Genomic DNA, 17,050 nt, shown 5'->3' with positions numbered 1-17,050 from the left:
AGGCATGATGCCAGGTGCTGGCAGTGGTTGGCAAAATAGATATAATCCCTGTCCTAAAAAAATTTATTGTTTAGTATGAGAATAAATGTGAAAGGAAGCAGAAGTTCTGATATTAGTCCCTGTTTTCCCGAAGTACATTTATTCTTAGAACTGCCTTTAGAATAACAAGCAGCCTCACGAAAAAAAATCATACAGTCCTCAGGGAATTATCTCAATGACCCTAAAAATTGAGTGTTACAGTTGTAATAATTTCTATTTTATCTATACCACAGAAAGCTTCAAGCAACATCTAAATTTATGTAAAACACGTATACTTATGTTAAGCAAGATATAGTTTATCCCTGGATTTAATTTGGAAAAATCTGGCAACTTTACTTTTGCTATGTATATGTACCTTGCTATAATTGAAACCAAGAATAATCATGGTCATTTACTTAACTCTCATAGGGAATTTGAGAAGCCCTCTTTAATACAGAATTACTATAGTAATATATTAAATGAAGTTTAACTATAAGATCATTATTTATTATTGGGATTTAGTAGACAAAACTTCAGTATCTCCCATATTTCATCATGCTCACCCTCTACCTGTAAAGTCTTTTTCTTTTGTACTTCCTCTCTCTGCTTTGTCTGCAAAACTTACTCTGTTTTAAGAGTAGGCACAGGTAACATTTGGTTTAGGAAGTCTGCCCTGCTTCCACGGGTTGGATGATGTGTACCTTTGACTCAGCTTCCTGAACATACTTCCTTCATTACAATTGCCATATCTCTATATGTATGTTCCTCTGTAAGACTGACCCTCAAAGACAGTGCTTTACTTCAGTTGTATTCGTATACCTCCCATATAATGTTTGTTATTGATTAATACAGAATCCTCAGCTCCTGAATAGTGCCTAGTGTGTGAATGCTCCACTTATTTCCATGGAACTGAGATAAAATAAGAACTTATGTATAGTTGCCTTCTGTATCCATGGAAGACTGGTTTCAGGACAGCATAGCACAATGCATGCTTGCTCAAGTCCCTTATATGAAATAGTGTAGTATTTGCATATAACCTAATGCATACTCTACAGTATACTTTAAATTATCTCTAGATTAGTTATAATATCTAATATAATATAAATGCTAGGTAAATAGTTGTTATACTGTACTGTATTTTTTGTTGTATGCTCTTATTGATTTTAAAGTGTTTTCTATCCACATTGGTTGAATCCATGGATACAGAACCCGTGAGACAGAAGGCTGATTGTATTGTACACTGATAAATGCTCAATAGAGGCTTCAATTATTCATTAAATAAAATGGTGTCATGCTTCTCAAATTCTTTAAAGTGACCTTTTCCAGGTCTCTTATATAATGGATACCAGATGGAAAAAGGAAGTGAATAATAGTCCAATAGTCTTTTCTAAAATTTCCTCTTCCTCCTTTTCTGAGAGAGAAAACATATTTGAGATGCTACCTATTATTAATTCTAGACTCCTAAAGCTGATTTTTGTGCTGTAATATGATAAAAATAGTCCATGAAAGAAACTAGAGGATTCTGAAAAGCTGAAAACTAAATATATCATAACACTTAGTCACCCTTTAGAATTTAATACAAAACAGATGCCGAAAGAGAAATTGCAAAATGAAGGTAGAATTTTAAAGATGTCTTAGAAATAATGGCCTCTCAAAAACCCAACTCTTTGAAAATCACTTTGAGAAATAACATAGGAGTCAATCTAAAAACACAATACTTACATATCAATAGTATTTCAAAATGTAAAACTGAACTGTTTGCTTATATAAATCCTAAACCTTATGTGGTATTAAATAATAGGAACAATCTTTTATCTAAGAAGGCTTTCAAAAAACTAAAAAGAAAAATCTTTTTCATATATTATTCCTACAAGGTAAAAATTCCAGTATTCAGGGCCTTATTATATTACGCATTTCATCATTCTCCAGGTTAAATTATATCTCCTAGATACATACATATATGTAGGGCATTCTCCTTAAAATAATGCAATGCTTATAAAACATATCAGTATTTCTTCAACATGAAAACTAGAATCCATTGTATTTTTCTCTTTTATGAGCAACTCCTGTGATTATTATCTCCAGAGAAAATAATTACTTTTAGGACAACATTAAAAATACTTAAATTTTTATGTGAAGTAAAATGAATAAACATGTTTATCACTGATAATATTCTATAATTACAACAGAAGTTAGAAACTTCCTCTGTTAACTAAAACTCTTTAACTGGAGGCTGAGGTGGGAGGATGGCTTGAGTCTGGGAGGTGGGGGCTATAGTGAGCTGAGATTGTACTACTGTACTTTAGCCTAGGCGACAGAGTGAGAGCCTGTCTCTCTTCTCTCTTTCTTTTCATGTGTATCTATATTTACAGATCTATATCTATAGATCTATAGATATCTATATATCATCTCTCCATATAGATCAATGAGAGATATATAGATATCTATATAGAGAGCGATATATCTATCTGTCTGCCTATAATTATATATATATATATATATATATATATATATATATATATATATATATTAGTCAATGTTTGTTTCTTGGTGAGCTACTCTAAATGGCTAGTTTTTAGTTCATATACTCCTATGTCTACTGATTCCTTTAATGACTACAAATATTTATTTGGTCTTTACTGTGCACCAGGTACTGTGTTAAGCCCAGCAAATAAGTATGTTCCTAACTAACTTTCAGAAACATAAAGACTAGAAGAGGAAAAAAAACTGAGCAAATGTTTAAAGCAGCATAGATCCTGGTGGCGGGATCTGTAAGGTATAATGGAAGCACTGGGAAAGGACTTCAAGTTGCCTGGAGGCAAATGCTGCAGTTTGCAAAGCTTACAAGTCAGGGAAGAGTATTCTTGGCAGTGGGTCAGCATGTGAGAACATGATATTTTCAGAGAATTATTATGCTTTGCTGTAAAATAATAAGAGAAAAATGTTGGAAGATGAAGTTTGATATGTAGGCTGGAGTTAGATCCAAGATAGGGGCAGTGTGTGTGTGTGTGTGTGTGTGTGTGTGTGTACGTGCACATTTATGTAATTGGATGGGATGGGGAGGGGCAGTATGATAAAATCGGCTTGTTAGAAACATGGTAATGATAGTCATTATAGTGTAAAAGGTGGTGAGATGACAGCACTAGAAATAAGTGCTGGGAATAGGACTTTGACTCCAGGAATGGAGAAAAGGAATCAACAGATTCAAAATGGAATTAGTAATATTTGAAAATTTGATGGATATATGGGAGTAAAGAAAAGAATCTGAGACACTGCCAGATACCTGACTTGAAAACTGGATTTTGGTGGCCAAAACTGCATAAAACAATGCTGTAAATGCATACTTATTAAGAACAGGTATGATTTTAATGTCCAAAATGTGGATACCAATTATTTTCTTCAGAAGAATGATTGAGACCTTTGTACTCTACATTCTTTGCATCCACTTCAGTTGTTAAAGCAATGTAACATACTGCATCTCATATCCATTTTGAGAGAAGCTTCAAAGCCTAAAAAGGGATGTTGATAAAAATGGGTTCACATACCATAAAATGAAACAATTGCAGCAGCCAGAAGAATGAGCTTTAATTAATGGGAAAACACACCCACAGAACATCTGAAGAGGCAAGTGTAGTAGGATATTTTAAGATGTTTTTCAAATAATTCTCAGTAACTTTTATGGGAGAATTTTAAACAATTTGATGATTTTATCTTACTGAACATAATTTTAATTTTAATGTTTTAATAGTGATCAAGTAAGTATAGTAGTAACAGATGTAGTTACCCAGCTAAAGAGGTAAGACTTCAGAGAATAACACCATCTTTTTTATCATCTCAGTGTTAAAAGACACAATGAAGAGTTACAGCTAGTTTTAGTTCTCTCTGTGCTTTACAACAGCAAATCAGATTTGGAACATCGTTCATGGCAATGAAGTTTTAAGTTCAAGGAAGCCCAAGTGATGATGGGGGCTGTTGCGTAAATGGGCCTGTGTTGCTCAGGTCTTCATTAGGGAGGACCTTTACTTGTCTTCCTTCCTGGGGCTCAGTGTTCTCATTTATATATAACTTGGCTGACTAACAGTGTAGTTACAGGAATCCAATGAAATAATACCTATGAGGGAAGAAGGGTAAAAAGGGCTGTTAAAAATGTAAAATTCTATTTAAATGTTTTAGCTTAGGTCTTACTCAGACAATGAAACTGTTTCAAACTTATTATAAAACAAACAATTAAGGTTTTAATAATCTGACTTATACGGCTGCTTTTAATATAAATATATAAATATAAATATATATCTATATTTAATAGAAATATGTTTTCTGGCAAAGGGGCAGGAGATTGCCCATGATAGTGAAATGTATAAATACTTGAAAATTGGATCTCATATAGTGTAAATGTAACCACATAATCATAATATAAACTTCATAAGAATGAGTAATATTAGAAGAATACATGAAAATGTTACCGGCAATGGAAATAATTGACTCACAAATTCTAAAATGGATGAAGGATAATTACATTTTTCACAAGATATTACTAAGTTTACTAAGTAGGAAATTAAAAATGTGATCTTGCTAAATAGTTCTAGATATGCCCTAGATCTGATAAATGATAATGTATTGGAGTTCAGTCCTAGTTTGGATAACTCTTGTATCCAACAGTTGTTTAAGTTTGGGAAAGTTGTTTATCTTTCTAAATTTCTTTTTCTTGTTTTGTCAAACAACAATGACAACAACAATAACACAATTTCTATACCATAGCGTATTTGAGGGAAGTAAATGAAATAATATTTGAAAAGTCTAGCATATTGCCAGGTATCTATTAGGCATTCAACAGGTGAGAGATGTAATTCTGGAGCTGAGGCCAGGGGTCTGGTCTTTATAATCACCCCTGTACACTAATCATCTCTATGCATTGAGCATGAGATTGGGGTGGAGCACAGCTTGAACCAGATAACTCTCTTTGACTGAAGGCAATTCCCAGAGCGGAACACTGCTGAGAGCTGTCAGCCCCCAATATTCTCCATAGCTTGGGGAAGGAGTGGTTCAGTCTTGAAGGGAGAACCTGGGCAACACACCACAGTATCTACTACACTGGCTTATGGTATCTTCAGTTAAAGTTGACACATTAGTTATCCTTCCAATTTCAATTCATTGGAATAGGCTCACGAGTAATATGAATAGTGAAAGACAAGTAAAGGAAAACAGGAGGGAGGTAGAGATATATTGAAAAATTATCAAGATGTGAACAGCAGTCCCTTAAGATATAAATAAAAGAAAGTACCGATTATGTGTAAAGTTGAATACTGAGAAAAGATGGTTATTAGGCACCAAAGATAATTTAGGTACTCATTTCAGTAACTTGAACATTTGATACAAGTGGAAAGTGATAATGTTATAAAGAATGGTTTTGATAATATTCATTTATTTGGTTATTCACTCATTCTAAGCTTTTAATAGCATGTATATAATTAAGACTTTTTTTTTTTGCCTTCTGAAGTTTCTGTCAGATTGGAAAGGGAAAATGGTTTTAAAGCCAGGAGCCATTGATTGCTCTTCAATGTACAATTACAGGATAATCAATAGAAATTTGCATGAGAAGTTTGTTATGTATATCAGAAAGACTGTTATGTCTAAGTAAGTCATTGTCAAAAGTAACTTGGAGTTAGGTGAGAATTTGGTTTAATAAACATCACTGAAATAAATCGGATTGACTTTACTGTCAAAGTTAACAACAGTGAATGCAACAACCCACTGTGGCCTACCAGTGATCACATTTCCCAATAATAGGCACTTCATTCCAGATAAATTCATGTTTTTGTTGGATTAAAAACAATCAACTCAGTGAGAATATAGGATTATTAAAAACTAGTCTGAGTTTATATAGGTATGAAATGGAAAAACAACATTGGAAAAACACAAAACCTCAGAAAGAGAAAACATATACAGTCCTAGATACCTGTAAGCATTTTTTAAGTTTCTGGAGTTACTGAGCTAGAAGCATATTTAACTTTTGAAATTTACAACCTAGGAGAGCAAATTCTAAGGAGTAAGGAGTGTCTTCTATTTCTCATTCTTCAATTTTTTTTCTATCCAATAACCTAAAATATCCTAGCTGGCTCTGGGAATTACGGTACTCTTATCCCCTCAGAGATTACAGAATCCAAGGTATTGATCTAATATTTCCAAGCATGCCCCCGACAAAAATTGCCTTTCTCTATCAGAGAGCTTTATATTCTCTCTCTGACAATAATAACAAAGACCTGCAGTTCTACACCAAAATAAAAATTTGCAAGGATACTAGTAACTATTCATAGCACACATAATGTTATGAGACCTGTCATAAAGATAAAACAGCTATCAAAAATGGAACTTCCAAATTAATAAAAATGCTCTGTATACCTACGACAATATAGGAAGTTTGTTTTGGTAGATTATATTTAGATGAACAAAGTTCAGCCTATGAATTGGATGGCTAAGCCTGTCTTTTTATATGGGACAACTTGAAGACGTTACCTAATTTTACTAATTTTGACAATCTACAGAAAGTGAAGAGACGCACTTCACATTTTGCTATGTGTGAAAAATCTGCTAATTAGAGTAAAGTGGAGATGGGCAATCAATACAGCACTACTTTCCAGTACTGACTGCCCTGTGACCCATAGGAAGTAAGGGTCTCCCAATAACAGACTGTCTTAGGTGTCATCAAGGCAGTCATCTTTCATTCAATTCCAAACTGTGCTAACGTGATATTCCATTTTGTGTAAAAAGTAAAAAAGCAAGGAAACAAACTATTCTGTTATGAAAACAGATTTTAACAGAATTTTATGCAGTATTTAATTATATTAAAACCTCTGAAATAATGTAGCAGTTGGCTAAGCAGAGAAAACGCTTTATATCAGGTTTTGTTTTTATTGAAACAGCATTGGCTAGCTGAATGGCTGTTTTATGGACATTCTTAGTACAAAGTGATGAAAAATAAAATTACTTATTAGCCCTTGCTTTTAGGATCCCTGCAGTTTATCATCAATACATGAAATATTATAGAATAACATAATTAAATGGCATATATTGATCATATTCATAAACTATATGAAACAAACATATATAATACCAAAAAAAAGATGGACATTCTTATTTGCTTTCGGAATGATTTCTACTTTGAGAAGACAGTGAGTGGAGACACATTTTTTAGCACATACAAGTCAGGGAGAATGAATATGGTGCACTTTTCTGGGATAGTCTGAATATTCTAAAACCTTTGAAGGTAATCTTTCTTCGTGAGGGTCCCCAAGTTTTGGTTGATGGTTACTGTATGTTTCTGTCCTATTAAAATTACACAATTTTTTAAGTTAGGTGAAAGATTGGGAGGGAACAGTAATATAGCAAATATGTGGCGGTCAGGAGGTTGGAATAGAAAATGGGTGGATTACTAGGTTGCCAGCGTTCAGAGCAGGCCAAAGAACCAAGAGGTAGGATCTGAACTGATGAGAAAGGATAGGCCCTTAGTGAGATAGGGAAAGGGTAGCGCTCGGAGTCCATGGGACCATTTACATGAAAGTGTGAATGCTACTAGCAAACATAATGAGTCTAAGAGACTGTGAGCCTTTGTTAGATCTTCCGCCCTTTGATACACTTCCTGTTTAGTGGTGAAATGGCTCCAGGACTTCGCATGCCAAGTTGATGAAGAAGAGGATGAAGCATTTGCTTATGAAACGCTTACAGCTTTGTGCCTTAGTAAACTGGCAGTATACCCAAGCATTCCATTGATTTTTACACAATTAATATTTATCAATCAGGAAACAGAATGTTGCCAATTGAGCACTTACTATGTTCTATTCAGAGACTTTTACTCCTTAGGAAATAGCTAATTCTGAAGAAGATAAACTAGGAGTAGAAGTGTCTGTAATAAGAAAATTAATATAGGCTAGAGTTTTCCAGCTAATATAAAATTCTCAAGGCACTAAGGGGTTTATATTCTGTCTTTCTATTCACCTAATATTCCACAAAAATTCTGCATATGAATCAGGCATGTTTCCTTATGAGTCTCATGCTTGGCATACAGGTGATCATAATTACTCCTACTTTCCAATCTTCTGACATTCAGAAGTGACTGATAATGAAACGAACTTTAGAGGAGTGAGTCCTCATCACTTAAAGGGTTAGGACATACACTAGTGATACTGAAAGAGACTTCCGGTACCAGCCTAGGCCAAACTCAATAATCTCTAAGATCCAGCACAACCCTAAGATAACAATATCTTTTCTCACCTTAGGTTGCCTTCCTTTTTCTTCTTTGACTATTCTAATGCTACTCACTGAGGTCTAGGTCAGGTAGCATGTTTTCCCCAAATAACATTACTTCATATGGCTGTTAAGAGGAATCAGTGAGCTATTGTGTGTGTGTGTGTGTGTCTAGACAGACATACATACAGTATCCATCTATCTTAGCTCAGTGCTTGGCACATAGGTGTTCAATTATTTATTTTGCTTTTCTCCACAATGACAAAATATCACATTAATCTCTTTCTAGTCTTCAACAAAATTTGGCTGTGATTTTAAAAGTTAGTTAGTAATTGTTTTTATGGTCATATTTTTCTTGAATTGCTTAATGTCTTGCATTATCTTTATGTTTACTGAAGACTGGATTCAAACCTTCCTTTTATTTTTATTTCTCACAGTTTATAGACAAAGGCTTAACACATAAGAAGTGGTCAGTGAATATGGAGAGGGTTTATAAAGGAGAGTGAACAAATGTGTAGTTTAAAAATCACATGATATTGAATCTTATTACCCCAATTTATGTGGCCTGGAAAAGTCTTATTCTTCAGTTTCCTCATTAAAAAAATGGGCTCAAAATTCCCATTCTGCCTTCCTACATGTATTGCTATAACCAGAGAATTGGGTAAATGTGAAGGACCATACAGCTATATAGCACTTTGGCTCAGTTGCCTATTTGGTTGCAATTTATCAAGTTCACAATGAAAGGGCAATTCTTCTCTAGTGGACCATTCTGACAACAAATGCGTGAGATATTTTTCTGTGTTAAAAAAGCAGCAAATTGCAGGCCACCATGATATTCAGTGTAACACTTCTTTATGCATTATAAGGATAGAAACTTTCTTATATCCTATTTGAATAATTAGAGGACTTCAAGTCACTGGAAAACAGTGGCTCAGCACAGTCCTCCATTAAGACTGTGGCTCTGGGGCCACATGGCAATGCTCAATAGCTCAGATGCTATTCAGATATCCTGAGAGGAATCAGAGGTTCTTGTAGACCTCTGACCAACATAAACTCTCAAGTCAGGACACCATAGTAAATGCTTTTATTTGGTTACAGGATGGTTATTTAAGGTCAACACTTACAACGATTATCTCCTTATTATAACCTCTACTTAACAGGTCTACACTGAATGTAAAATCCACAAACTAGCCAATCCCTGCTCCACACAGCTGTCAGAATTATCTTCCTAAAAACAAATCTGAATCATGTGAATCCCTGCTGTACTCAAAATACAAATCAAATTTTATAGCTCCGAAATCAGTGCCTTTGAGGCCTCTGCTGCTTTCCTTTAAACTTATTCAACAAACAGTGACTTATTGTCTACTATACACCCTCACTGGTTCCTCACTGTTCCCAAAACACGCACTAAGCTCTTCTGCCCTTCTTTGTTTGCCCAACGTGCTCGCTCTGTCTGAGATGCAGCTTCTCCTATGCACCTGCTGAAATCCTTCCATTTGAATGGATCTGAGGCCAGGTCCATTTCAAATACCAACCCCTTCTAACAAACAGCTGAATGCACATAGTTCTCTGGTGTAGCTTTATTATAGCAGATCATAGCCCATACTGCAATTTCTACCCTTAAATGGTGCTCTCTTAGGTGTGAAGGGCTATGCCTTTTATTTTGGATCCCCATCCCCCAACAGCATTTAGCTTGTAGAACTAAAAAGATTTAAAATCTTAAGAATATACTCACTAGCTTATCACATTCAGTTTATTCATAAAATTTGCCAAAAAAAAGGATTTGGATGAATTGGATCAAATGTTTATGTACTAACTGATTGCTTCTCCCCTTTCAACAGTGACTTCCAATAATGGATTCACTCCAAATTAGTCAAATTGCTGAGTTTGTAAAACATGGCCTAAGAGGGCAACATAAATAGTAGAAGCATTTTCATTATGAATGTTTTAATTTAAACTTAATTTTTAATTTAAAGCAATACTATTATTTTTTAGCCTGATGTGATCATATGTTTATGCACTCTGTTGAAATGGAGTTCAAAGCAATCATCTATTTTAAAACATAAAAATGTGCATTGTATATAGATGTGGATGTATACAATGTACATTGTATATAGATTGTATATGAAGGCTACATAAAATAATTGACTAGAGATTTATATGCAAGCTAATGTCTGTGTATAAAAGATACCAGTACAACAGTTGAAAAATAGGGAACATCATTAAGTCATATTTTGGCATCTACAAAATAATACAAAATATTGTTATCTCTTTTTCCCACCTGAGAGGTTTAGTTAGTTTAAGTTACCTCATGCAGTGGTAATGTGTTTTTCTTCTGATTCACCCTCATTCACTCACCCACTGGCAGGGTTCTGTCCCAGGACAGTTAGCCTGGACAGTGCTCCAATCATAGGCACACTCTATTCCTGCTTAAGTCCCGGAATCCCATTTTCATTTTTTTACTCTGCTGGGATAAGTTAGACACCTTAGGAGATCCTTTAATGACTCTTCTTGGAAACTCAAAGCAGACCTTGAGTCACCCCACTTGGCTCTCTTCTCAGCCCCATCCTGTCCCTCTGACTCCCACAGTCTGTCCTTGGTCTCACAGAAAGAAGGTATCCACAAGCCCAGAAGGCCTCCCAAATCTGCCTTTATAACACTTTTATATGTTTTCTCCTAAAGCATTATTTTCCAGACATAATTTACATGAGAAGGGCAGAAGGGAAACAGAATGTTGTTCTTTCCATTCTTTGCCTTTTTATTGTCATACAATGGTATTTTCTCTGGTGTGTGTCCTTGAAGCCAACCAAGACTCAGTGTTTGAAGTAACTGAGAGAAAGGTGATAGATAATTTCTTATACATGCCATAGTTTTGAAGCTTCCATATGTTTTAAAATACATATGCATACTAAAAGTATATTTTGGCTTTATACCTTAAAGCTAAATGTTTTTCTCCCTTCTCAGTACCATGATTTGCTTTCTTCTTCTATCTCAGAGTTTATTGTTACTGTCTCTAATCCAGAGCCTAATTTCAAAGTGGGTTGTAATTATATGGGTTTGCGTGGAATAAGGAGTCCATTTGGCACTCTCTGGGGCAAGGAAAGCATATATGCAAAGAAGAATACAGCAGATGTTCTTAACTGCCAACTTCATGGAAAAAAAGGTATTTATTGATACAAATGAATGACATCAACCTAAACATATCTATGTCTAAGAGACAAAAACAATAATTCATGTAACTTCACCAGGTACATTCATTTTTATATTGGTATTGTAAAATAAAGAGAGGGATTACTTATAAGAAGAGGGGCTATTTATTTTTAGATGTATTTTTTCTTTAGATATGTGATCACTCAAAAGGGATGTTTGCAGACAATCCTAAGAAGATATTTTTCTCATGGGATTTTTTAATCAAAATGTGATATTTTAAAATTAAATTTTCTTGGTCTGTTTTACAACATCCATGTTATAAAATGTGTAGGAAAAGTATTGTAGGAAGGAATTATCACCCAAGGTAAAGGAAGAAGGAAAACCATAAAGCAGAGCAAAATGTGTTTAATTTAACACACTCTAAATACTTTACATATAACTTGGATATTAACAGTTAAAATTCGCTCATTTAATGAGATGGTGAACAATGTAGTTGGCAATTGTTTCTTATTTATATACTCTCTCCTATTAATTGGATAGTAAACCAGGAAGAAAGGAATAGTTTTGAAGAAAGTGGGCTAATTTTTGTTACATTGGAAAATGCAACAAAGAGAGCTCATCTTTACTCTTCCACTAATATACATTTACCAAATTCTAAGGTGAGAAGCTATCTTAGAAATTATCTGGTGTAACTTTTTCACTTTGATTTCTCCAGAAATTAATGCCCAGGCAAATCATGTGACTGGCTTTATGTTACACAGCTGACTAGAGATTAAGCTGGGATTTGATCCAGAGAATTCCTGACTTTGGATTTAGGGCTTTTTTTTTTTTTTCCTTGTATCCCATAACCTTTAAAATAAAATCCAATTGACACTGAGTTTAAATACTTGGGCTCACTAAAGCTATGGTTTTCCAATGCTTCTCAAAGTGTTTCAGGATGGATCAACTGATACTAATAAGTATGCAACAGCATTTTAAATCCAATTTGTAGGCAAAAATTGTATTTGGCTCCATCTCTTTAGCCAATATAGAAGGAAGATTCCAGCCAAAGTCGCTCTTTTTCTGCCACCCCAGTTCCATCTGTCTTTCTCCTCCCTCTCTCATTATGTTACTCTATTACATTTTAAATAAGTCCATGTGGGGAAGGGGCCTCTTTTCACTTCTCTAGAGTTAAAGCACTGTGATGGTTCTGTAGGATTTGGTTCAAGAGATTTCCCACTCCATTTGGTTGATTGCCATGTAGGTACACAATATAAAAGAAGATATTAAGAAAAAAATGGCAGAAATGAGTATATCTTTGAATACTGACTTAAGGCTAATGTGCATTTATGACTACGAGTTGTATGTTTAAGCTCTATAGCTTGTAAAAAATTAAAGAAACTCCAAAAATTACTGTTCTTGAGGAGAAGGACAGGCAGGCATTTTATTTATTTATTTTATCATAATTACTGTTAACGATGCTTTAAATAATGAATTGCCACTTTATGTAGCAACATAACTTTTGAGAAGTATTGTGTAAATATTAAACAAAGGTGGCAAAGAAACCAGATTTAAATAATGAGGTATTCTCAGTTTTTTACTGGGGGTTTTAAAATAATTACATATTACTTTCAGTTTGACATAACATAAAATAATGGCAGAAAGTAATTGTTTTTATCAAGTCGATGTTCTGTTTTTTTTTTTCTTAGCACTTCATAGCTAAGCAAGGTCTTACATTTGATTCAAAATTTCTAAAGTTATCATTACTAAAAGAATAAAAGTGTATTCACTTACGGCCCTGATGCTTTCAAAATGTCCACCCTCTTCCTCGAAATCAATAGGCTGTCCTTTCAGAGTCCAGTAGAAAGTGACATCCAAACTAGCATCGTGAATTGCTTTGCAATTAAGGACAATGCTTTCTCCCACTGTCAATTCTGTTCTTTTAGGAGTAAGTTCTATCCTTGTAGGTTCTATAGAAATAAAAATACGTTAATTAAGATAATCAACCTGTTGTGTTACCATACATAATATTTTGCTTGAAATAATTGAGAAAAGAAGAAATCTATACAATACAGTTGCTCCAGATACATATACCAGCTTTTTTACATCTTTATTAGCTTTTGGATGCTAGGGCATATTACCATGTTTTTGTAGGGGAGAAATGATTTAAGAGCCTCTGTTCCTATTAAGAATGTGACTTGGATTTTAAAAAGACAAGAGACTACCTAATTAGAAGCAGCATTTGACATTATGGAAGGAGGAACATTAGAAAAAAAGAAGAGGCTGTAGCCTCTCTGACCACTTTCAAGGATCATTAAGTAAATAAAAGATTTTTTACAATAAAAAGGTTATGTGTTTCAGGAAGAATTCAGAGAGGGTTCACTTGCTTAAAGATGAGAGGAGGCTACAGGGCAATAGAAAGCACCTCCCTCCAAATAACTATCTTAACAGAGATAAAAATATAATACTACAACAACACTACCTTGTATTTGCTTTACACTCGACAAAAAGCTTTTAGGAGTAGAAAAGTATTTTTTAATCAGAAGAACGTACCTGTTTTTGTACCTTTGCTGTATTGTAGATGGCTTAATTGGCATATATAAAGAAAGGTAGAAACACTGAATGGAAATGTTTTTAGAAAACAATGTTTATGTTTAACTCCTTAATGATTCAGTTAAATTTTAAAAACACACTTTTTTACTGGGTTTAGAGCAACTTTGAACCAATAAAGGCTAAAACAGGCTTTACATTTAAGAGTTAAGTTAGTGATTAGCTGATTACAAGATGATGTGTTTTAAATATAGTAGAGAGGTGATGAAGATTTTGGTTTTATCTTCTTTCCTAGTTAGATTCCTGGTCATAGATACCTCAAGACAATTAACACAGTGATTAACAATTGGCTTAAATTTCCTATTCTAGGTCTATTGTTTGCGACAGTGCAGTCTGATGAAACACCACTCCTAACCACTGATCAGATCCTTTAATGTTCCATGTCCTTCTATGCAGTCACTGAGAAAAAAATGGAATCCTGGGACAGGAATGTCACTGTAAATATTAACATTCTGGAAGTCAAATGTTCCATATGGCATTCTAAGTTCTGGCCTCATCAGAGAAGACAGATAAAAGCAGTACACTGTAGTTTAAATTTTGTGGGGATTGGAGTGTTCTGAGTAAACAATTAAACTCATGATTAAGAAAATAACATTTTTGTTGTTATTTTAAAAATGTCTTTGGATCTAGCATTGCCTTATTACAAAATGGAACAACTAGCACACAGAAGGAATAAGAACTGAAAGGCTGCGTTTGAGTCCAGTAATGCATTATATAAATGAAAGTATATTTTACATTTTGTTCTTTTCTTTCTTGATGTTCTCTCTTCTAAAATATCAGAGTACTGGTATTTTAGTACCAGTAATGTAAATGTATTAATTACATTTTTATTTTAAAGACAGAAAAAATAATATTTTTATATTTTTATGGCCGGAGTATGGTTTGCCATATGATACATGCACAGTGAAAACAATTAAAGACTCAATGTGAAAAACATCTGAAGGGACTGCCTAAGATAGGTTTTCTGTCACTAAACAATGACATAGAGCCTCAACAGAATGTTCTAGGCTTGAAATCGAGCTCATTTTAGAACGATAAAATGAATGGAAACATATAAGCAGTAATATTAATATTGCTTATATAAAATAAAGGCATATAAAAATTTCATTGATACAGACATCAACAAACAGCTCTGGAGCCAGTTTATCTAATGCGAAGTCCTATACCACCCCTCCATCATATCCTCCTGCTGCTGCTCCTTTCTGCCCCAAATCCCTAGTTGAAGTGATAACAGAGTAATATTAGTGATTGATGCTAAAATTATTCTTGGTAGAGGAAAAATATTTTTATACCGTTGGCATACTTTCAAGTTTTGAGACACTGACTAAAACTTCAGAAAGCTTGCCTCATTCTCTCACAAATTTTATTCAAAGCAAAATAAAATTTCTGCCAATAAGAGGTTCCTTCATTTTTGGTACCCTAAATGGTGGAAAGTAACAATGTGGCTGTTTTAGTTCTATGTTTGCAATGTATTTTATAAACACAAGCATGCACACACTTAAGTCCAAACATATATGCATTTATATTATATTTATTCTCTTTCCGATAAGACCATGAGACTATGCTTGTAAAACATTTACCCGTGCTGTCTTACCTTTTACAGATAGCGAAGCTATAATTTCAGCAGAACCAAAGACGTTTTCCCCTCGGCAAACGTACTTTCCCTCGTCTGATTTGGAAGCATTTAGGATCCGTAGACTCCCGTCTGGAAGAATAGCTATTCTGAAAATTATTTAAAAACAGTTTTTTTTTCTGTTTTACTGCAATCAGCTAAATAGTAAGAACCAATGATGAAGTCTAAAACCATTTCTAGGGTGATAATAAGTAAGATAAAGGATCACTGTGAAAATATGCAGTGATAGTAGAAATATTTTACCCTTCAAGAAGTATAATAAGCTTACTTAAATCTTCTTATATTCAAAAAGGTTAAGGAGTAACAAGATATTTTTCTTTTGACATTTTTTGACAGTTAATTTTAAAACTTGCAGAAGGGGTGACCCTGAGTTTGGTTATTAGAACTTGTTACTACAATATCACCCAGTGATATTTTAATATTAAGCTTGAGTATTTCACCTAAAACCAAGAGTGACCTCAAAAGTCATATATAAAAAAAAAAAACAGCATAAAAACATAGAGGAGTATAAGTACAGAACACAAAATTAATTGTATACAGCCAAGAGATGATTTATGGCAGTTATTCTGCGTTGCCACCAGAGTAGCAAGAGTATGAAAATGCAACCTGATACCTGGGCTGCTTGCACTGCACTTTCTAAACATAAGAATATGATATCTAAGTTTGCATTTGGGCTCTTTCAAGACCTTTGTTAAAACTGGACCTTCACTTTCATATGAAGGTGAAAAATTAAAGCGTTGTTAAAAATTTTTAGAAGTTCAGTGAAAATGAGGCTGACATTTGGAATTAACGTATTCTCCTGTGTATTTATTCCAGGATTATACAGATTTCAAATTTAATTAGTACTTTTGTCCTTTTCTCCCTTCTATGCTCCAGAAATATAACCTATTATTTCACCAGTGCATCGACCTACTCCGGCAACCTGAAACATAATAGACACGGCTGTTGTGGTTTTAGTGAATATGCCACTAGCTTTGGGTAAGAACCAGTAGCCCCTGTGAACTTTAAAATCCTAAAATCCTAAAATTGGATCCTCCTGATTCTAAGGACAATTTATTCCATGGCAGTATGATAATATTAAACTATTTAAGATTTAGAAATAATGACTAAATGTTTAGTCAACATTCTTTATGTTATTTTAAAATGTGTATTCAATCTTGTCAATTAACTGGAGCTCATGGTTATTTAGAGCATTGAACTTCGTAACAATTGATATTAGATTCTAGGCTGCTGAAAAAAACTGCCCAGGAATTTATACTTACATATTTTCATTAATAAAGATATCAGTTTGAAAACATATGGTTTCCAATATGGATCAAACTTGATTTATGATGTGTAAGAAGGAAGACAAATTTAGAAAAAAAGTCAAACTAGAAATGGTGAACTTCATTTTGTCATTTAAGTCTAGGAGAGATGCTA

At 33.9% G+C, this 17,050-nt stretch overlaps 1 protein-coding gene across 12 annotated transcripts in view; it reads right to left on the bottom strand.

Moving 5' to 3' along the window:
- The window catches only part of CNTN5 (contactin 5), a 1,337,937-nt gene that overhangs the window by 152,040 nt on the left and 1,168,847 nt on the right, over positions 1 to 17,050 (bottom strand). For 8 of the 12 annotated variants that reach the window (XM_017017926.2, NM_014361.4, XM_011542871.2 and 5 more), the window contains 2 exons: positions 15,593 to 15,720; positions 13,183 to 13,358 (listed from right to left, as the gene is read on the bottom strand). In XM_017017926.2, the coding sequence (XP_016873415.1) occupies positions 13,183 to 13,358; positions 15,593 to 15,720 (304 nt within the window). Of the gene's footprint in view, positions 1 to 3,578; positions 4,130 to 13,182; positions 13,359 to 15,592; positions 15,721 to 17,050 lie in introns of those variants that run through there. The other 4 variants (XM_017017927.2, XM_011542873.2, XM_017017929.2 and 1 more) reach the window with 1 other exon arrangement.

The sequence above is a fragment of the Homo sapiens genome, chromosome 11 (genome assembly GCF_000001405.40).
Source record: "Homo sapiens chromosome 11, GRCh38.p14 Primary Assembly".
Lineage (NCBI taxonomy): Eukaryota > Metazoa > Chordata > Mammalia > Primates > Hominidae > Homo > Homo sapiens.
Note: the sequence above shows the minus strand (reverse complement) of the source record. Positions and strands in the feature narration are given on the sequence as shown.